The following is a 22124-nucleotide window of genomic DNA, read 5'->3' as shown; positions in this document are numbered from 1 at the left end:
GGTCCTGCATAGCTCACATGGATGTTGGGAGAAACAATCAAGATCCTCTAGGGATGATCACTCTATAAACCGGAAACTTGATGTACAAATGAGGTAGTATGCACACAATCACCTTAGATAGTAGTAGTACCCCTTATCCACAGCGGGTATGTTCCAAGGACCCCGGCGGTGCCTGAAACCTCAGCACCAAGCCCTATATATATTGTTTTTTTTCCGATACATACAAACCTATGATAAAATTTCATTTATAAACTAGGTAAACACAACAGCAATCAAATGGAACAATTATAACAATAGGCCAGCATCACTACCCTTGTGCTTTGGAACCATTATTAAGTAAAATTGGGGTCATTTGAATACAAGCACCTGACACTGTGACAATCTGATAACCAAAAGGGTGAAGTGACTAGTGAGTGTGCAGCATACACAGCGTGGATACCCTCGACAAAAGGATGACTCACGCCCTGGGTGGGATGGTGTGAGGTTTTTGTCATGCTACTCAGAACAGCTTGCAATTTTAAACGTATGCATTGTTTATTTCTAGAATTTTGTATTTATTATTTCTGGACTGTGGGTAACTGAAAGCATGGAAAGCAAAAACACAGGTAAGAGGGAACTACTGTAATTCTAATATGCTGTAAGGGGTTATAGTGATTACTGTTAATTCTTCTGAGACTAGTAACATGTATCGCTTTTTAATATCCTTCAAATTTATTAGGTTCCCTCAATTGCTTGTAGCTTATATTTTCCAAATGACTTGGCATAGAACTTTCTCCTAGCTGGCTCTCCTCCGCCCATCCCCTCTGCCACTATAAAACAAGATGATGCCATTATGAAAGTAGCAGCGTGTTCTCAGAATGACCTGCCCAAGTCAGGGCCTCATGTATTACATATCCTAAGACCTGCACATGCATTAATACTATAAAAGAGGTTTTGTGAGAGAGACAAATACAAACACCATGAGGTCACTTCTTCCAGAGTATAACAGGATGCAGACTCTTGGAAGAAATTGTATAAATGTCCTCTTGGAAAATTTTGTCTCTGAGTACAGAGCACATTATAAATTTTTCCAAAGCTTTCCAACATACAGTACATCAAACAGTGTGCCTTTTCTTTTCTTTCCTTTTTCTCTCATACTCCCTCTCTCTCTTTTTAAATACTTCTATTTTCAGAGAAAAGAGGAAAACCTGGGAGGAGCTTTCAGTTACTAATTATTTCCAGCATCAATGTTTGGTCTTAAAGCCATAGTTCGTTTGTAGAGAGGACAATGTAATGGTTCCAGAAATCTAGGTCCTAGTCCTACTTGCCCAGCTGGGTGAACAGTTCAGTTTTTTCAGCCATCTTCATGTGCCAAGGAGGACAGTAGGACATGCAGTTATATGAACACTGAAGTGGAAATCAGGAGACCTGAAATTTATTAAACAATTCTACAAACAATGGTAATGTGATGAAATAACTATTTTCAATCAAGTGTACTAGTTTCCTGGTGCCATGTGGTGGAGGCTCCATGAACAGTTGTTGAATGAATGACTAGGTAAACAATCATGAATACATAAATGCCTAGTATATACAATAGTCAATCAACAGTGAGCAGAATTTCGAGGAGGCATTGTGATCACTGTACTTACAGGCTGCAGGGAGTACTGATGGAAGTGTGTAACTTGTTGTGGGAACAAAGGGATGACTCCAGGGGAAATGTAAGGGCTATGAGTTAACTCAGGTCTGTTGCTGCTACTAAATTATGCTGCCTGCTATTGTGAGTGAATCGCCCTCTCTGAGCCCCGGTTTCTTTACCTATAAATGAAGTGCTTGGACTAGATAATCTCTAAGAACACTTCCATCTCTGTAGGTTTACTTGTATAGTGCAGCACATAACAACTTAGGAACCCTAGACTTAGAATTTTCGGTTAACACTCAAAGCTAAGTCCTCACACCAGGAAGAAGATATCAAACACATAAGAAACTGTACGGCCGGGCGCGGTGGCTCACGCCTGTAATCCCAGCACTTTGGGAGGTCAAGGCAAGTGGATCAACTGAGGTCGGGAGTTCGAGACCAGCCTGACCAACATGGAGAAACCCCGTCGCTACTAAAAATCCAAAAAGTTAGCTGGGCGTGGTGGTGCATGCAGGTAATCCCAGCTACTCAGGAGGCTGAGGCAGGAGAATTGCTTGGACCCAAGAGGTGGAGGTTGCAGTGAGCTGAGATCGCACCATTGCACTCTAGCCTGGGCAACAAGAGCAAAATGCCATCTCAAAAAATAAAGAAATAAATAAAAATTTAAAAATACAAAGTAAATTGTACAGTTTTTTTCTTATACACAGTAGTGCTATATTTCCTTTGGTGTTTTAGTCAAGGGTTTGACTGCTTGGTTAACTATTGAGTCAATTTCCAGAAATACTATATTTGTTTAAGATCTTTGACTTCCATCCTAGCATCTAGATAATTAATTTTCTTTCATTAAGAGCCTCAAAGACGGTCATTGTTGGCCTTCAGTCTTTATTTTTGACCAATAGTTTTCATTCATGACTGCACATTAATGTCATCTGTGCAGTTTTTAAAACCCATCCAGGCTCTATTCTCTGAGATTCTGATTTAATTGGAGTGGAGTCTAGACATCATTTGTTTGTTTGTTTTTTAATGCTATTCAGGCGATTCTACTCCATACTCAGGACTGATTACTACCACGCTGGAACAGTGCTTCTTAAATTATTGTGTGCAAATGGGCCAGCTAAGAATCTTGTTAAAAATGAAGATTCTGATTCACTGGGTCTGAACTCAGGGTCTGAGGTTCTGTGTTTGTAATAAACTCCCAGGTTACGTTGGTGCTCTGACCTCTGCTCCTAGAAGTGTGGTCCATGGACCAAGATCATCTGGAAGGTAGACAGAATGCAGAATCTCAGGTACCACCCCAGAAGTACTGGATTGATCGGGGTTCTCCAAAGAATTGGCTCACAAAATTATGGAGTCTGACAATTCCCAAAATATGCTGTCAGCAGGCCGGAGACCCAAGAGAGCCAATGGTATAGTTTCAGTGTGAAGGGCTATAGGCTCAAGACCCAAGATGCTTCAGTTTTAGTTCGAAGGAATACATCAATTGATATGCCAGCTCAAGACAGTTAGGCAGGAGGAAATTCACTGCTACTCATGAAAGGTTCAGCCTTTACTTCTATTGAGGTCTTCAACTGATTGAATGTGCCCCATTCATGTTAGAGGGCAACCCGCTTTATTTTTTATTCAGTTCAATTATTCAAATGTTAATCTCATCCAAAAGCACCCTCATGGACACACCCAAAATAATGTTTGATCAAATATCTGGGCACCCCAGTGTGCTAGTCAAGTTGACATAAAATGAACCATCGCACCTAGAGAATCAGCATGCGGTTTAACATATTATACATATGCAGAAATTTAATACACATACTAAAGTTTAAGAAGCTCTGCACTATAATAACTATTCTCAAACTTTTTGGTCTCTTGACCTCCTTATACTCTTGAAAATATTGAGGATTCCAAAGTGCTTCTGTTTATGTAGGTTACATCTATTGCTATTTCCTATATTAGAAATGAAAACTGGGGACTTTCCAAATTATTTATTTATTTTATTTAATAAACCCATTATATGTTAACATAAATCACATAATTATAAACAATAACTTTTTTTTTTTTTGAGATCAAGTCTCATTCTGTTGCCCAGGCTGGAGTGTGGTGGTGCGATTTCAGCTCACTGCAAACTCTGCCTCCCGGATTCAAGCGATTCTCCTGCCTCAGCCTCCTGAGTGACTGGAATTACAGGGGCATACCGCGACCGGCTAATTTTTTGTATTTTTAGTAAAGACAGGGTTTCACCATGTCGGTCAAGCTGATTTGTAACTCCTGACCTCATGTGATGCACCTGCCTTGGCCTCCCAGAATGCTGGGATTACAGGCATGAGCCACCGTGCCTGGCCGAAAAGTAATTATCTTTTTATAAAATAAAAAATTGTGAGAAGAGTGATGTTGTTATACATTTTCGCAAATCTCTTTTATGTCTGGCTTAAAAGAAAGCAGCTGGATGCTCATACTGGCTTCTGAATTTAATTTGCTGCAATATTGCAAATTATGTTGACTCTGGAAAACTGTTCTAATCTCATAAAAAAATAAAAGTGAAACAGCATTCTAATATTATCGCAAAAATGTTTTAATTTGTAATACTCCCTAAAAGTGTTTCAGGATCCTCTAAGGGTGCCTGGATCTCTTTGAGACTGCTGTTCTAGGCTAAAGTTGAGAATCTATATAATTCATTCTAAAAAATTCAGCCTCAAATCTCACCAGCAAATTTGTCACAATTCTACTAAAATTTGGAGCAAAAGCACTTTGTGGAGGAGTCAGCCCTTTCTTCCATCAGCATATTACATAGTACTGCTAGCAGTTTCAAAGACCAGTGCTTAGAATGCCAGTTCAAAAGTTTGCTGTACCCTCAGTGTAGACCAATAATTCTCAGCCTCAGCACTATTGACATATTGGGTCAGAATATGTGTATATTTGTTCATATATAATTCATTAAACAACACAATATATGGCTGCATTTATTAAAAGTATCTTTCTTTGCATTTCAATCATACCAGGAGAGGCAATATGGCCATGGTGAAGCTTTGAAACCTAGTTTCTAATCTCAGATCTGTAGCTTTCTAGCAATATGGCATTTCTTTCCTCAGTTTTCACTGTTTTCTTTTGCAAAATGGGAATCAGTTATTGGAAAAACCATGGAGATGCCTGTGCAAATGTAGACTCTTATTAATAACCAGGCTATTATTCTGCCAAATCAAAGAGTCAACATGAGTACAGACATGAAATGTGAATGCAAAGGCATATTCAAATGAAGCACATAATCCATATTATCTGACAGGGCCTTGGGGTTCAATGGAAGATGGAACTAATGACAGAGTTTGAGCTGCATGGTAGTGGGTCTTAAATCCAGAGGGAGAAATTCCTGCTGAATTTAATAAATTTAATAGTCAATTCATCTCATTGTAAATTATTACTATTCATTGCTTTATACTGGAGCAACAGCCAATATATTCGGGGAACTCTATAGGAACTGGCAGTATCAATGAAGCCTTTATAAATACCAATATCTTATGTCTTATTATTTTCACAACTAATTCAGAGGCAATTTAAATATTTCTGCTATTTCCAAGATGCTTGATTTGAAGTTGGGCTCCAGAAAGCTATTTAGCAGATGCAATAATATTTGTAGGGTACAGAGAGAGGAAAAAACTTAGGTTCCATTTAGAAATATCTTAGGATTTTCAAGAATGTACAATTTTTAGTTTCAATTATCCAACCAAACAGCTTGTGTGTGCATGAGGGGGTAGAGGAAAAAGCAGTTAAGAAAAACAGAGAGATGTTACCAGGATAAAAATGTGGGCCTGAGGAGGTTGCACTGATGTAGCACAGGACCAAGTTGAATGCCAGTGATGATCTTGAGAAAGTAATTATGAATCAAGAGTGTCCGAAGGGAATACTTTTACAGGCCCAGATGAAATAGTTGAGGTATAAACAACAAAGAAGCCTGCCCAACGGTCACCCAGCTAGGCAATAACAAAGCCAGGACTCAAATCTCAATTCTATGAAACAAATCATGGGATTTTTTTTTCCTTCAAAACATCATCTTCAAATCAAAGTAGGACAATAGATCATTAAACAGAAGATTATATAGAACCAGTGGCCAAAAGCTTAGATATACAGCAGCAATGTATGCAAAGGGTTCTGCATTTCTAATCCCAAAGCAAGGTTTTCTTAGGTTAATATATTACCTGTTTTTAAACATGTAGAAGGAATATTATATTCTCCCTGAGCTTGAGATGGGATGGCAAACACACAATTTACAAAAATTCAGGGGCTGGGCACCGTGGCTCATGCCTGTAACCCCAGCACTTTGAGAGGCTGAGATAGGAGGATTGCTTGAGCCCAGGAGTTTGAGACCAACCTGGGCAACACAGAGAGACTCTACCTCTATAATTTTTGTTTTTTTTAATTAGCTAGATGGCGTGTCATGTACCTATAGACCCAGCTACTCAGGAAGCTGAGGTGGGAGGAATGCTTGGGCCTAGGAACTCAGGGCTGTAGTGAGTTGTGATTGCACCACTGCACTCCAGCCTGGGTGACAGGGCAAGACTCTATATTAAAAAATATAAACAAACAAACAAAAATAAGTAAAATTCAGGGCTTGTGGCTTCAGAACAGTTCCAGAATGATTAAGTTTTGCAGATTAGGATTTTTTTAAAAAATTAAGTTGTGCAAGTTTGTTGTTTAGGCATGTATAATCAAATTCAATTTTTAGGATGTTTTATATTTAATTAAAAAGTTTTTAGGTCAGCTGTGAAAAATAAGTTAATATTTCTCCCACTTCACAAACTAAAAAATTAAAATGCAGGTTATAGAGCAACACAAGAGCAGCATCTTTGGTCTTCAATCTTTTCCTTGGCTCACTGAACTGCATAGTGGGACAAAAAGCGATTTTACTGCTAAGCCTCACCTTTGATCCAGAGTGCCCAGTACGCCCTTGTTCTGCGCAATGAAGCATATTCATTCAGAAATAGCATGGAAATTCAGAAGAGAACTGGTAGTTCCACAGTGCGTGTGTGTGTGTGTGTGTGTGTGTGTGTGTGTGTGTGGTTTTGTGTGTGGTTTGTTGTTGTTGTTGTTTGAGATAGAGTCTTGCTCTGTCACCCAGGCTGGAGTGTACTGGCTCAATCTCGGCTCACTGCAACCTTCGCCTTCCAGGTTCAAGCGATTCTCTTCCCTCCTCCTGAGTAGCTGGGATCACAGGCACCTGCCACCACGTCTGGCTAATTTTTTTGTATTTTCAGTAGAGACGGGGTTTCACCATGTTGGCCAGGCTGGTTTCGAACTCCTGACTTCAAGTGCTCTGCCTGCCTCGGCCTCCCAAAGTGCTGGGATTACAGGCATGAGCCACCACACCGGCCCACAGTGTGCTTTTGAAGAGCAACAGGCTTACAGCTTTCAAATATGCTCTCACTTTGGGGTTAAAGCAGGTCACTTAGTCATCACTGTCTCAAAACTCCTGTCCCCTCCAACCCTGGATCCCCACTGCACTACAACTCTCGAATTCCCTATCTCAGTGAACCCACTGTTTTACCCAAGGCTGAACTTAGGCACCACCTTAGATTCCACATCCAGTATACCATCAAGCTGTTGCTTCTTAGTACTTACCCTCTTGAGTCCACCTCTCTTCCTTCTCCATTGCAACTTAGTTCAAGTCACCATTCTTCTATGTGGCCTCCCTGCCTCCAGTCTTGTCCCATTCCAATGTTACGCACATTGTAGCCACACTACTTCTACAGCAGAAATAGACTGTAGCTATTTCACCGCTTTAAAACCTTTCAGTGCTTTCTGGCTGATTGCCACCCACCCACTCTAATCTCCTTCACTCCTTCTCCAGGACAAATATGGTTTAGAAGACTTTATTGTGGTTTAGGAGACTTGCACAATTTGGTCCTGTATCTCACCACCCTCATTTCTCCTCACTCCATTTTGTACTCTACGTTTTGTCCAGTATGAACAAGCTACAGTCCTATGAAGGCACCTTGCTGCGGTTCCCACCCTGTTTTCTGGCTTATATAAATGCAATATCTTTTACATGCAACATCCTTTCACACTATTCCCCACTTCATTCCTTCTCCTTGCACCCATCGCCTAAATAATTCCTACTGATGCTACTGGCCTCAACTAACATACTATATTTTCCAGGAAGCCTCTCTGAGCCCTCTAAACTGGGTTAGTGTTCATGTGCTGGGCTGTTTGACAGCTGGTATTTACTCCTAGTTAATACAAATGGCATTGTTTTAAAACTGCATATTCATTGTGCGTTACCTCCATTACACTGTCAGCAATTTAACTGTGAAGCCTGTGCCTTTTACTTATTTGTGTAACTCCACAATAGTTAGCATACAGATTATACATCATTGGCTCTCAATAAATATTAGTGGAAATAATAAATGATCTAATTAGTGAATAAAGGATTGGTATTATAAAGGTTCCTATACAATAAAATTGTATTTTCTGTGAGGCTTAACATATTAACACCCTCCTAGCCCTTGACTAACACACAGCAACACTATACTACAGGGGAGTTTCATTATACTGTGTGAACTTAGCAAGTGCTGATTTTTGCTATTTTTCATTGGGAGTGGGGCAGAACACTACAGCTGGAGCCATCATAAGCAAAGCGACTTTAAAAATTCTTGCCTTTTGTCCCACCTTTGCCAATACTCAGGCTTTATCTTGGCTATGTCTTAAGATTCTACCAACTAATGGAATCCCCCGCCTTGGCGTTTTGGCACTGGTTAAATAACCACATTTTTATTAAATGAAACATGAGTCAGCATCTTCCCAGAATCTGTAAGTTCGTTCCTGGTAATGGTTTAGGAATGTGCTTCTCAAACTTTAGCATGCATAACGATTCTGGAGATTTCCTAATTCCCACACTCTTGGCATCCTGGGCCACATAGCTAGACCCCCATCTCTACAAAAAATAACATAATTAGGCCAGGCATGGTGGTCCACGCCTGTAATCCCAGCACTTTGGGAGGCTGAGGCGGATGGATCACCTGAGGTCAGGAGTTCGAGACCAGCCTGACCGACATGGAGAAACCCCATCTCTACTAAAAATACAAAAATCAGCTGGGCGTGATGGGGCACACCTGTAATCCCAGCTACTCAGGAGGCTGAGACAGGAGAATCGCTTGAGCCTGGGAGGTGGAGGCTGCAGTAAGCTGAGACTGGGCCATTGCATTCCAGCCTGGGCAACAAAAGCGAAACTCTGTCTCAAAAATAGAATAATAAAATAATTAGCTGAGTGTGGTGGTGTGCACCTGGTAGTCCTTGCTACTCCGGAGGCTGAGGCAGGAGGATCTCTTGAGCCCAGGAGGTTGAGGTTACAGTGAGCTATGATGACACCACTGTACTCCAGCACTCCAGCCTGAGTGACAGAGCAAGACCCTGCCAAAAAAAAAAAAAGAAAAAAAAAAAACTTGGATCAAGTCTTAAGAATTTGCATTTCTAACAAGTTCCTAGATCAAGCCGATGTTAGCAGTTCAAAGATCATACTAGTTTAGACAACAATCAGCAGCACTAGTTTAGACAACAATCAGCAGTTATTTATTGAGAGGTTGTAGTGTGAGAGACAAAACAGGTAGGGAGAGATCCTGCTAAAAGAGCAACCAATCAATTCCACAAACACTTACAGTGCCTAGTGTGCCACCAAGTGCAGTTTTGCCACCAGGACTCAGAGATATATAAGGAGCCATCCCTGCTCTCCAAGAGCTCTTGGTGTAGTGACAGAAACTGACAACTCAGATTGCGATAGGGATTATAGCTGTTAAGTAGCTTGTCTCCTTTAAAACACAGACTAGGCCTAGTGCGGTGGCTCATGCGTGTAATCCCAGCACTTTGGGAGGCTGAGGAGGGGACATCACTTCAGGCCAAGAGTTCGAGACCAGCCTGGCCAACATGGCAAAACTTTGTCTCTACTAAAGATACAAAAATTAGCCTGGCGTGGTGGTGCACACCTGTAGTCTTAGGTATCAGGAGGCTGAGGCACAAGAATCGCCTGAATTCAGGAGGTGGAGGCTGCAGTGAGCCAAGATCATGCCACTGTACTCCAGCCTGGGCAACAGAGCAAGACTCTGTCTCAAAAAAAGAAAAACAACAACAACAGCAAAGCATAGACTAATACATGTATACATGTAATGGATGAAAATAAGAGAGGGGATTTCAGGCTGACTACGGGAGTCTTTCAATTTCATCTTAAGAAATTTGTACTTACTTTTGTGTGTCCCAGGGAAAATAAGACTTTTGAAAAGAAGAATGATATTGACAGTTTCTGAAAACACTGATAACAATTTCTGATAACAATTTGCATGGTTATACGAAGACTGACAATGGGAACAAGGAGACTGGTGAAGAGGTGACTGTTACCACTCCAGTAAGAAATAATGAGAGTGTAAGGTAGAGAATGGCAGAAAAGTTGCAATTTTAATACAAATGTATATCCCCTTTCGGGCATAGCAAAAGAACTGGAGTGTTCTTACTCCCCAGAGGATATTCGAGGCCTGTGAAGGCCAGATAAATCCATTTGTTGGCTCTTTCTTCATGTTGAAATGAAGGCAGGCATCAAGTCTGTTTTGTTTACTAATGTTTTCCCAGGACATAGTAAAATTCCTGGCACATAGTGGGTGCTAAATAAATATATATTTATTGATTGCCACACTAGCAAAGGCCATAGGTGTTATCTAATCTTATTCCTTCATTATTTGTTCATAAGCAGAGACACTGCGGCCAAAAACAGGAGGAATTGACTAAAACCATACATCAAGTTGCCACTAACACTAGGACTGGAACCCACATGTCTTGACTGCCAGTCCAGTGCTTTTCAACATCACACCAAGCTGGGTTGTCAGGCTTCTATTTTTGGGTTCAGCGTAATGAGCTACTTCTGCATGACCTCATTGTTTTCTGTTTGTCTGCCTCATGCTGTGGTCTGGCAGACAGCAACTCGTTTAAGTCTTCTTCCAGCCAATAGCGTCCTTGAGTAAGACAATAAAGTGTGTTTTCCTCTAGTCTGTATCCCATTTCTAGTGGTTTGTTTGTCTCTACTCTGTATTCCACTACAAGTGGATCACAGCATAATTCCACAAACCTTTCAAATGAAGAAAATAAAAGAGCTTAACAAGCAGTGACTGCTGGGAGATAATCCTCCAATCACATCTTCAGCTGAAAAATGTATCCCATGGAAAATATACCAGCACCTCTTGGCCAAACCTCTCTACTGAAAAGTTCCTGAACGTGTCCCCAGTAAAGTCCCTCAATAAACACATTATCTTGGCCTCACAATGTGTGCTCTGGAGAAAATAAAGAGGAAGACAGCAGTAGTACTAGAACTTCTAAAGGGAAATTAGACAGCCTCCTACCATTTGCACTGCTCCATTCGTGTAATGCCTTGGTTATAGACATGCTTCACAGTAATATAGAGCTTCTTGTGCCGGAGACAAGACAGAGCACCGAGTTATAATTCCAAAGTCACGATGCTGGTCACTTTGGCATTATAACTCAGTGCTCTTTCTTGTCTCCGGGCAAGAATCTCTATATTACTGTGACCTCGAAGCCACTTTAACTGTGAGTCGATTTCTTCAAACGTAAAAGAAAACATTAATAACTTACTGATTCACTGACAGCATTTAGAGCGTAAATGTTTGTGAAAGTACTCAGGATTTCTGACATAGTATGTGTGTAAACATATACTAAGAATAATAAATGTTCACCTGAGTCATTCCTGCGTACACTTATAGCCACATTGTAGAGTAGGAATGTGAACGATACTTCTTAGTAACATATCCAACATGCTTTTGGGCCATCTTGTCTATCTTTATATTTCCTTCAGATACAATAACTTTTATTTATTGAGCCCTTACCATATGCTAGGCACTTTAAGTGTAACACATGAATGTTAATACTTAACAGTTATGAAATGTAGAGATGATCTCCATTCCACGGATGAAGAAAACAGTTTCAAGAGATAAACGACCGGCTGGGCGCAGTGGCTCACGCCTGTAATCTCAGCACTTTGGGAGGCCCAGACGGGCAGATCACGAGGTCAAGAGATCCAGACCATCCTGGTTAACACGGTGAAACCCCGTCTCTAACTAAAAATAAAAAAAATTAGCCAGGTGCGGTGGCGGGCCCCTGTAGTCCCAGCTACTCGGGAGGCTGAGGCAGGAGAATGGCGTGAACCCGGGAGGCCGAGCTTGCAGTGAGCCGAGATCGCGCCACTGCACTCCCGCCTGGGCGACAGAGCGAGACTCCGTCTCAAAATTAAAAAAAAAAAAAAAAAAAAGAGAGAGAGATAAATGACCTTGATCAAATGTAAAAACTTAGAAATGGTAGTGCAGAAATTCAATCACAGTGTGTCTAATTATAAAGTCTAGTATCTTTCTTATATCACATGCGTGTCAGCTTAAACCTTACATTTTATTTCAGGTCAGAAAAATGTGGGCGTTTTAATTTTTCCAAGGAGAGAACAAATTTACTGCATTATCTGGGAGAGATAAAGAAATAACATACTAAAATATTTAAATATTTTCAATTATCATAATATCAGGGATGATATTGGTATTGCTTTCTGAGACAATAAAATGTATAATATGGGACAAAACAAAGGCATAATGATGTGACATTCTAATTACGTATCTTTATTGTTCTTGAGAACCAAGATACTTTACATGTTAAAGAAAGAAGATAAAGATGTTATAAGGGAATAATTAAAAATCCTATAGTTCTGAATGTTATTTATTTATTTTATGTACTTTTTTATTTTTACTTTTTTTTTAATTTTTATTTTTATTTTTTTGAGACGGAGTCTCACTCTGTCACCCAGGCTGGCGTGCAGTGACGCCATCTCCGCTCACTGCAACCTCTGCCTCCAGGATTCAAGCAATTCTCCCACCTCAGCCTCCCAAGTATCTGGGATTACAGGCCCCCACCACCATGCCTGGCTAATTTTTGTATTTTTGTAGAGGCGAGGTTTCACCATGTTGGCCAGGATGGTCTTGAACTACTGACCTCAGGTGACCTGCCCACCTCGGCCTCCCAAAGTGCTGGGATTACAGGCGTGAGCCACCACGCCCAACCTATAGCTCTGAATTTTATTTTGGAAGTATGAATATGAACTCATGAGGTGTTTTACCTTAAAATAAATAAATATAAATGTGTATATAATAGACATATTTTTCCTTGTATTGTTTTTGTCAAGATCTGGTATCAGGATAATTCTATCCTCAAGGAATTTTTCTGTTTCCACTATGTTAACTAAGGTATTATAGAGTTATACATTCTCTTTTCATTCTTTTATTCTTTATAAAATCGGTAGTGATATCATCTCTCTCACTCACTGCTAATACTGGTATTTTGTTCATCATCTTTTTTTTCTCTCTGATCAGTCAGGCTAGATGTTTATAAATTTTATTAATCATCTAAAATAAATAGCTTTCATTACAGTTGTAAGTGCTTTTTATTTCATTAATTTGTGTTCTTTATTATTTTATCTTTTCTGCTCAGTTTGGGTTAAAAGCACTGTACTTAATTTTAGTTTCTAAGGGTTAAAGTGGAAGTCATTGATTTAAGACTTTTCTAATGTAGGTTTAGTGCTATAAAATTCCCTTTAAAGATTGCTTATGTGGCATCCTACTAATTTTGAGTATGTATTTATTTTAGTTAGTTCAAAATACTTCCTACTTTACTTTTTGAAATTTCCTTTGACTCATAGCCTATTCAGAAGTGTATCATTTAGTTTCCAAATATGAGGGACTTTTTCAGATGCCTGTCACTGACTAATATCTAATTTAAGTCCACTGTGGTCACATAACATACACTGTACAATTACATCCTTTAAAATTTGTTAAGACTTGCTGTATGGCACAGAATACGGTATCTCTTGGTAAATTTTCTGTGTACACTTAGAAAGAATGTGCATTCTCTCCTCATTAAGTACAGTGTTATATAAATGTCAGTTGGTTCCATTTGGTTATTAGTATTGTTCAAGTCTTTTGTATAGTCACTGATTTTCTGTCTACTTGTTTGGTCAATTATTGAGAGGGTTATTAAAATTTCCAGCTAATTGTGAGTTTGTCTATTTCTACTTGCATTTGTATCAGTATTTTTTAGTTTTTTTTTTTTATTTTGAAACTCTGTTGTTAGGTGCATACATGAGTAGCATTGTTATGTCCTCTTGATTAATTGAACCCTTTATCATTATGAAATGGGCTTCATTACCCCTCATACTTTTCCTTTGAAAAGTATACTACTGTGTAACCATAGCTAGAGGGAAGTTTTTCTTTATGGAAGCATTTGTACTATTATATTAAGGTGTAAGTGAATTAAAATCTTCCAATCTTTCACCCTCTAATAAATTAAAGGACCCAGGCAATGATCATTAATGACTGTCAATATCACAAAAAGAGTCACAATGAGACATTATATGTCTGCCGATAGAGGAAAACAATGTTTATTAGAATCAGGAAATAATTACTAGTTACCAAATATTTACTTATTTATTTTGAGATAGAGTCTCTCTCTGTCACCTAGGCTAGGGTACAGTGGTGAGATCTCGGCTCATGACAGCCTCAAACTCCCAAGCTCAAGCAATCCTCCCACCTCCGCCTCCCAGATAGCTGGGACTACAGATGTGCACCACCATACCCAGCTAATTTTATTTATTTTTTGTAGATGAGAGGTTTTACTACATTGCCCAGGCTGATCTCAAACTCCTGGACTCAGGTGATCCTCCAACCCCAGCCTCCTAAAGTGCTGGGATTACTGTGCCTGGCCAATTTTTTTTAAAGCTGACAAACAGCATAAATGTAAAAAAAAAAAAAAAGAAAAAAAAAATCCAGAAAATTACATAAGATTTCTCATTACTTAACTATCTGATACTCTATAATTTTTTTTCTATACTTTTGGTTCCATATAGTTTGACTCTCTTCATAAGATAATAATGTTGTGATATTGTATTCTACATACAATAGAAGCATAATTCAATATTTGCTTTAGCGTGATTGATCAAAATATTTTCATTCTTGAGTTTAAAAGAGTTTCTTTCAACTTTATAACTCACTATTCGATATGCCATAGACAGGAGCAATTCAAACGCTTTTGAAATTGTCTGACATGGTGTATTGGGTTACCTAATTGTATGATCAAGTAATTACTATATTACATGAATTGAATCATTGATAGAAAATGTAGGAACACTTTTTTTCTTCAGACCATTTCGCTGTGTCAGAAGCAATTTTGCATGCTGTTTTATCTGAAAGCTCCAGACTTGTCAGGGCAAGGTAAAAGCAGATATGTGCAGACATGATCCCATATGTTGGGATGTATAAGATACAAATTTTCACTCACAGATGTACTCACTATTATAGCATTACTTCACATTTGGCCCCATCAGACACAGATATTACAATACATTCTATTTTGCATAGTTTCTAACCAAATTTTGAAATAAAGATTATGTTTATAATTGCATACCCCGTAATACCAATTATATTTCTATAAGAAGAGATCTTCTTATGGATTAGGAGCTAATAAGAACTTAAATGTCAGTTGTTACAGCTGATAGAAAAAGTTCCTACACATTATCTTCTAAATTAATGCATTTTAAACGGTGTTTTTTTTTTTTTTTTTTCTTTCTACTAGCCTATATTTTGTGTGCGGAGTCATACAGGACCCATTTTTGTCACACTATGACCTCTGGCTCTGCATCTTGAGGTCACATTGCTGGATAAGTTGGACACAGTGGCCATAGGAGTATTCCTGAAAATCATTCCTGCACAGGAGAAATTAGCAATAACCTACTTAAAAAAAAAACTTTTAATTTGAAAATAACCTCAACCTTACAGAGAGTTTTTGAAAATAAACACAGTAAAAGAATAACTGTATAGACCCTTACGCAGATTTACCTATAGCTAATATTTTAATCCATGTGCCTTATTATTGTGCGTGCTTTCTTTTCCTCAGGTTACTTGCTAGTTTATTCATTTATTATCATGTGGATTCATAAATTTCTATTCATTCAATAATTTATAATTCATTACTGTATTTAATGTTTTGGTCATCAAATTGCCTCATACATGGCCACTGGGAGCCCCTTCAAGCTGGCTCCCGAGTCTCTGTACATGTTCGTATATTTCTGAGCACTTTATGTTCTTGATTAAGAAGTTATTCAGCAGGCTTACTTTATATCTGCCCCAACCCTGGTACCATCCATACCATCCATAAGTCCCAAAAGCCCTGATTCCTTTAGGCGGAGATGGTTTGTGTGCTAGATCTGCGTGCTCATTGCTACTAGTGTATAGCACTCAAATACTTTTATATTCAGTAAATGCAAGCCACATAAACATATTGCAGTGAACTCAAACCAAATGTTTTCCCAACTCATTTTCCCTATGGCCACTCCATGGGCACACTTCATTAATAGAAGAGTAACAAAAAGGAAGTTTAAAGGATAAGAATATTTTGTAAACTTTATAACAACATAAGACCACATGGTTGCAAAAGGGATCCTCCCAGGCCTTAGGGAAGAGTCTGTAGAAATTTACCTCCATCAGCTCCATGGTAAATCTGCACTGGTCTGCTGAAACGTTGATGCCATTCTATAGACCGTTTATCATACTGAGGGAGAAGTATTGAGAGGTGACAGCGTGCTGGCAGTCCTCACAGCCCTCGCTCGCTCTGGGCGCCTCCTCTGCCTGGGCTCCCACTTTGGTGGCACTTGAGGAGCCCTTCAGCCCACTGCTGCACTGTGGGAGCCTCTTTCTGGGCCGGCCGAGGCCGGAGCCTGCTCCCTCAGCTTGCAGGGAGGTGTGGAGGGAGAGGCGCGAGCGGGAACCGGGGCTGCGCGCGGCGCTTGCGGGCCAGCTGGAGTTCCGGGTGGGCGTGGGCTTGGCGGGCTCTGCACTCGGAGCAGCGGGCCGGCCCTGCCGGCCCCAGGCAATGAGGGGCTTAGCACCCGGGCCAGCAGCTGTGGAGGGTGTACTGGGTCCCCCAGCAGTGCCAGCCCACCGGCGCTGCCCTCGATTTCTCGCCAGGCCTTAGCTGCCTTCCCGTGGGGCAGGGCTCGGGACCTGCAGCCCGCCATGCCTGAGCCTCCCATCCCCTCTGTGGGCTCCTGTGCGGCCCGAGCCTCCTCGACAAGCGCCACCCCCTGCTCCACGGCGCCCAGTCCCATCGACCACCCAAGGGCTGAGGAGTGCGGGCCCACGGTGCTGGACTGGGAGACAGCTCCATCTGCAGCCCCGGTGCAGGATCCACTGGGTGAAGCCAGCTGGGCTCCTGAGTCTGGTGGGGACGTGGAGAACCTTTACGTCTAGCTCAGGGATTGTAAATACACCAATCGGCACCCTGTGTCTAGCTCAGGGTTTGTGAGTGCACCAATCCGCACTCTGTATCTAGCTAATCTGGTGGGGAGGAGGCGAACCTTTATGTCTAGCTCAGGGATTGTAAACACACCAATCCCCACTCTGTATCTAGCTCAAGGTTTGTAAACACACCAATCAGCACCCTGTGTCTAGCTCAGGGTTTGTGACTGCATCAATCGACACTCTGTATCTAGCTACTCTGGTGGGGCCTTGGACAACCTTTGTGTCCACACTCTGTTTCTAGCTAATCTGGTGGGGAGGAGAACCTTTGTGTCTAGCTCAGGGATTGTAAAGGCACCAATCAGCACTCTGTCAAAACAGACCACTCAGCTCTACCAATCAGCAGGATGTGGGTGGGGCCAGGTAAGAGAATAAAAGCAGGGTGCCTGAGCCAGCAGTGGCAACCCGCAGGGGTCCCCTTCCACACTGTGGAAGGTTTGTTCTTTTGCTCTTTGCAATAACTCTTGCTGCTGCTCACCCTTTGGGTTCACACTGCCTTTATCAGCTGTAACACTCACCGCGAAGGTCTGCAGCTTCACTCCTGAGCCAGCAAAACCACGAACCCACCAGAAGGAAGAAACTCCGAACACATCGGAACACCAGAAGGAACAAACTCCAGACGCACCACCCTAAGAGCTGTAACACTCACCGCGAGGATCCGTGACTTCATTCTTGAAGTCAGTGAGACCAAGAACCCACCAATTCCAGACACAGTATCCATAACAATAGTTCTTGCAAATCAACAAAATAAGTTAATCAACTAGGATTTTCTTTTGGAATTTTGTGATTCTACCCTTGTTGGTTTCTTTAAGCTCTTGATCAGGTTCTTAGTGTCCACTATCTTGACTTTTTCCAATGGGCCACTATTTATTCTAACTTCTTATTGACTACTGTGTATTTGAAATTACTGAAAGAAGATAAATGATTTGAAATTATTCCCTATTAACTCAACTATTAAAAAATTGTTTTTCTGGTGTTTCTGGTGACAAGAGCACAGACTTTGGGTTTAACAGGCCTTTGAATAATTATTAAATGACTACAACTAATTGGTCCGAAGCCTAGTGTGCTTAAGATATCCATCTATTTGCCCTCTACAGCCTTCAAAGTGATAGGATTTGCTATTGTTATAGAACTGAAAGAGAATTCATTCTACTCTAACAGAAAGGCATTGCCCATTGAGGTGAAGTAATCCCTGGTTCAATTAAAAATGAGTCAGACTTATCTTTGCTTTCCTGGAATTCTGTGCACATTGTAAAAATTCACACACTGCTAAGCATGATGGTAAGTTTCTATCATGCTGTATGTATTATAATTGAGGTATCATATATATATATATAATATGTCTATTTAATAGCTTGGGTACTTTGAAATCATTTATAGGATTTTTTTCCTTTGGAAAATTACAAAGTAAGTTAGAAATATACTACTCAGAAACTGACATTTAGATCATTAATATATCAATGTATTGGTAATTTAGAAACTGACTAAATACTTATAGTATATATGCTTTTATGAGTATATGCTAGAATGTATACAATATAATTAACTTCATTTTTCTAATTTAACAATCAGTAACATGCAGATCAAGATGAGAAGTAGAGCTTGACTGGGTAATCTAAGAGTTTAGATATTTTCTGCATGCAGACTTATCTGTGGAGCTGTTTCATTTTTCAAAAATCTTCTGATATTTAATGACGTTTATAAAAATTAACAGTGTCAGTCAGACAGTCTATTTCCCAGGTAAGATTTAATTAAAAAGAGAAAACTAGTGCTGTCAGTTTGAATATCAGTCTGTATCCAGAAATTTTCTTTAAAAGGAAGTTCTGGGCACAGTCTCATGCCTATAATAGGATGTATACATCCTAGCACTTTAGGAGTCCAAAGCGGGTGGATCACCTGAGGTCAGGAGTTTGAGACCAGCCTGGCCAACATGGCAAAACCCTGTCTCTACAAAAATACAAAAATCAGCAGGGCATGGTAGTGTGCACTACTCGAGAGGCTGAGGCTGGAGAATCTCTTGAGCCCACGAGGCAGAGGTTGCAGTGAGCTAAGATCATGCTACTGCACTGCAGTCTGGGTGACAGAGTGAGACTCCATCAAAAAAAAAAGGAAGAAAGAAAGAGAGAAGAAGGAGGGAGGGAGGGAAGGAAGGAAGTAAGAAAGAAAGAGAAAGAGAAAGAGAGAAAGAAAAGAAAGGAGAGAGAGAAAAATGAAAGAAAGGAGAGAGGGAAGGAAGGAAGGGAAAAAGAAAGAGAAAGAAAGAGGAAAAAAATGCATAAATCACATGAACTTACCATGCTTTGAATTCCAAGGCAAAGTCAAAATTTTAAATGATTATACAGGCATCCATGTTAATTATTTTACAGAGTTAATGCTTCTAATTTTTAAATAAAAGTATAAAATTTGTATTAAAAATGCTCAAACTACTTCTTTGTCTGTCAAATTTTCTGAGGGAAGTGTCCAGGAACTCAACACCTACATGTTTTGGAATTTATACAAGAGTGAAAACCAATTTGAACTCTGGCAGTGACTTGCACAGGTGCCTGAATTTGAGTCTTCTAGGCTCTCCTTACATCTTCATTAAGAGTTAGTAGTTGAGGCAGCCCGCTCTACTACAAAGTACTTTGGCCTATGCATTGAAGGTCATAAAATCAAGCCCTATTGCTGCCAGCAATTGTCTCTGCGATTTTGAGAGAAACATTAGTCCTCCAGGAGTCTCAGAGACACCATATATTAAATGAGGGAAACCAACTGTATTACTACTATTCAACATATGACCCGCAGAATGATGCCAGTTTTGAAAATTTTTGTTACTGATATGAGATTAAATGAGTACAGAAAGTGAGAGCAAATTTTTAAAAACCTTTCACAGCATTCTGACAGAGTAATTTTATTTCTGCTGAATTTAATAAAACATGGGGCTTAATTTTTAGTATATTTTAATCTAATAACTCATTTTTTTTTCAAAAGCATTCATGTCTCACAGATTGGGGAAAAATGCAACCAAAATCTAATTATTTCCACAGAAACACAGGATGAAATTTATCCTCCGAGAGCCTTTTTTGTTGTTGTTCTACTATACTTCACCATTTTATGATTTTAAGAAACTTCATTAGAAAACAAGCAACTGTACAACTCTCAGTTTCTTCTAAGCTAGACAATTAATAACAGCACAGGAAAACACAGTTTTAGCCAAAGGTCTTACCATTTGCCAACCAATTTTGATTATGAAAGGCTGTCTGGGCTAGTCATGTAGTAGCTAATTTGAACTTATCCAGACAAAATCAGAAAGGAATTATAAGGCTGGCTTTGATGTGAAGCAATAAACAGAACACATGCTGTTTCCAGTTGTTTGAAGAGAAAACTTTTTCTAATTCTAGTTCAGGACGAAATGCCAAATTTCCAAAGGAATCTACTCATTAATGTTTAATGCAGAAATAGTGGAAAGATATTCTTGACTAAATATAATAGACCAAGATGCTCACATGCTTTAGCATTCAAGAAATGAAAAATAAATTTTAGATATTTGTACATTTTTGGTACTTGCTCTGAAACCCATAGAAAATAATCATGACTAGAAATATTGTGTAGATTTCTAGTTGGCCTAGATATTATTTAACAGAAAAATCACACAGGTTAGACATATGTTGAATGAGAGAATTAAACAGATACATCAAAAATGCCTCATTTCCAACAATCTGCATTCTAATATAATCTTGTTTTCTAGTTCTAAAAGAGATAATATGTAATCCTCATTTTTACTAGACATAAGCAAATGATTGACCTTTGTGCCATTAGAAAACCAGCATTTCTTTAAACAAAAAGGTTTTATTCTTTTATTTTTTAATGTTTTAGACTTTGAAGCCCGAGATTAGAATACCTAAAAATGGCTCATATTTGTTAGTAATGATGATGTTACTCACCATTGCTCACAGGCTGGCTACATGCTCTTTTTCACAGTAGGAATGGGTTTAGGCTAATCAACTTATATTTCTTCACCTCTTTCCTTTGTTATCAACAGCTTGGATTAATTCAGATGTGGAATAACAATGAAACAAAACCACCTAAGCGAAAAAAGAGGATTTATCTCAAATTTAGATTTGTGGAACAAGGTGATTGATATCACTGGACAAAAATTCTAGATCTATGTATAGAAGATGTTGGAATGTGTTTCTTTGTCTACTATTGTGATTAGTATTGATACATTTTGAGTGATGACATTGTATTTGGAAAATCATGAAAGGGACCTATATCACAAAACCCACATGCTGAAATTAAGAAAGCAACAATGACAATTTTTTTTGGTTTATGTAAAATTATCTTTTAAAAATGATTAATTATATACCTATATTGGAACGAACTATAAGATATTTCAATAAATTTTCAAACTGGCCAATGTCTGTGGACCTGCTGCATCAGAATTCTTTGGTGAAATGTTACAAAATATAGACCACTTCTCTCTGCAATTCCCTTCCCTCATTTTCAAAATTCCTATTGGTAGAATCAAGAAGTGGGGTCTAGAAATTTGTATTTTTTTAAAAGCCACACAAATTATCCTGAGGTCACTAATTTGTGGAACTTCAAATCTGAAGATTAAATTAGCTGTGTTACCCATTCATCCATGGATGTTCGGTGTGCCTGGTTCTTTACTCTCTGCCTGAACTCTCCCAAGGGTGGAGAATGCTTTTGTAGTTAGCATTGGGCCTGTTAGAGTATAGTTTCTCAGCATATGTGTGATAAATTATTGAATATACTGAGGAAGAAAAGAGGAAGGAGAGAAAGAAGAGAGGGATGGCAGAAGGAAGAGAGGAAAGAAACAAGGAAGGAAGCAAAAAATGGTTGGTAGAATGGAACAAAACTATCTCAAATTATCAATCAAGACTATATCATATTTGGTCTGTTCTCTATATGTTAGATGGTTCTTTTTGTTTTCTTCTCCATAATTTTCACACATCCTTTTTAATTTTTTTTTAATTTTTGTAGATACATAGTAGATGTGTATATATTTATGGGGTACATGAGATGTTTTGATACAGGTATGCAATGTGAAATCAGCACGGCATGGAGAATGGGGTAGCCATCCCCTCAAGCATTTATCCTTTGAGTTACAAACAATACAATTACACTCTTAGAAACATACAATTAAGTTA

General features: G+C 39.3%; 4 annotated features.

The window, feature by feature from the left end:
- Nucleotides 744-933: an enhancer, noted in NCBI's record as "active region_20985". NCBI's record gives its function as "activates an Ori minimal core promoter by ATAC-STARR-seq in GM12878 lymphoblastoid cells {active_cell/tissue: GM12878}" and the evidence as "EXISTENCE:reporter gene assay evidence [ECO:0000049][PMID:35858748]".
- Nucleotides 10358-10487: an enhancer, noted in NCBI's record as "active region_20984". NCBI's record gives its function as "activates an Ori minimal core promoter by ATAC-STARR-seq in GM12878 lymphoblastoid cells {active_cell/tissue: GM12878}" and the evidence as "EXISTENCE:reporter gene assay evidence [ECO:0000049][PMID:35858748]".
- Nucleotides 16193-16693: an enhancer, noted in NCBI's record as "H3K4me1 hESC enhancer chr3:189894953-189895453 (GRCh37/hg19 assembly coordinates)". NCBI's record gives its function as "activates a minimal SCP1, AML or CMV promoter by ChIP-STARR-seq in primed H9 embryonic stem cells {active_cell/tissue: H9 hESC(primed)}" and the evidence as "EXISTENCE:reporter gene assay evidence [ECO:0000049][PMID:30033119]".
- Nucleotides 16694-17194: an enhancer, noted in NCBI's record as "H3K4me1 hESC enhancer chr3:189894452-189894952 (GRCh37/hg19 assembly coordinates)". NCBI's record gives its function as "activates a minimal SCP1, AML or CMV promoter by ChIP-STARR-seq in primed H9 embryonic stem cells {active_cell/tissue: H9 hESC(primed)}" and the evidence as "EXISTENCE:reporter gene assay evidence [ECO:0000049][PMID:30033119]".

The sequence above is a fragment of the Homo sapiens genome, chromosome 3 (assembly GCF_000001405.40).
Source record: "Homo sapiens chromosome 3, GRCh38.p14 Primary Assembly".
NCBI lineage: Eukaryota > Metazoa > Chordata > Mammalia > Primates > Hominidae > Homo > Homo sapiens.
This window is presented reverse-complemented; position numbering and strand designations above follow the sequence as displayed.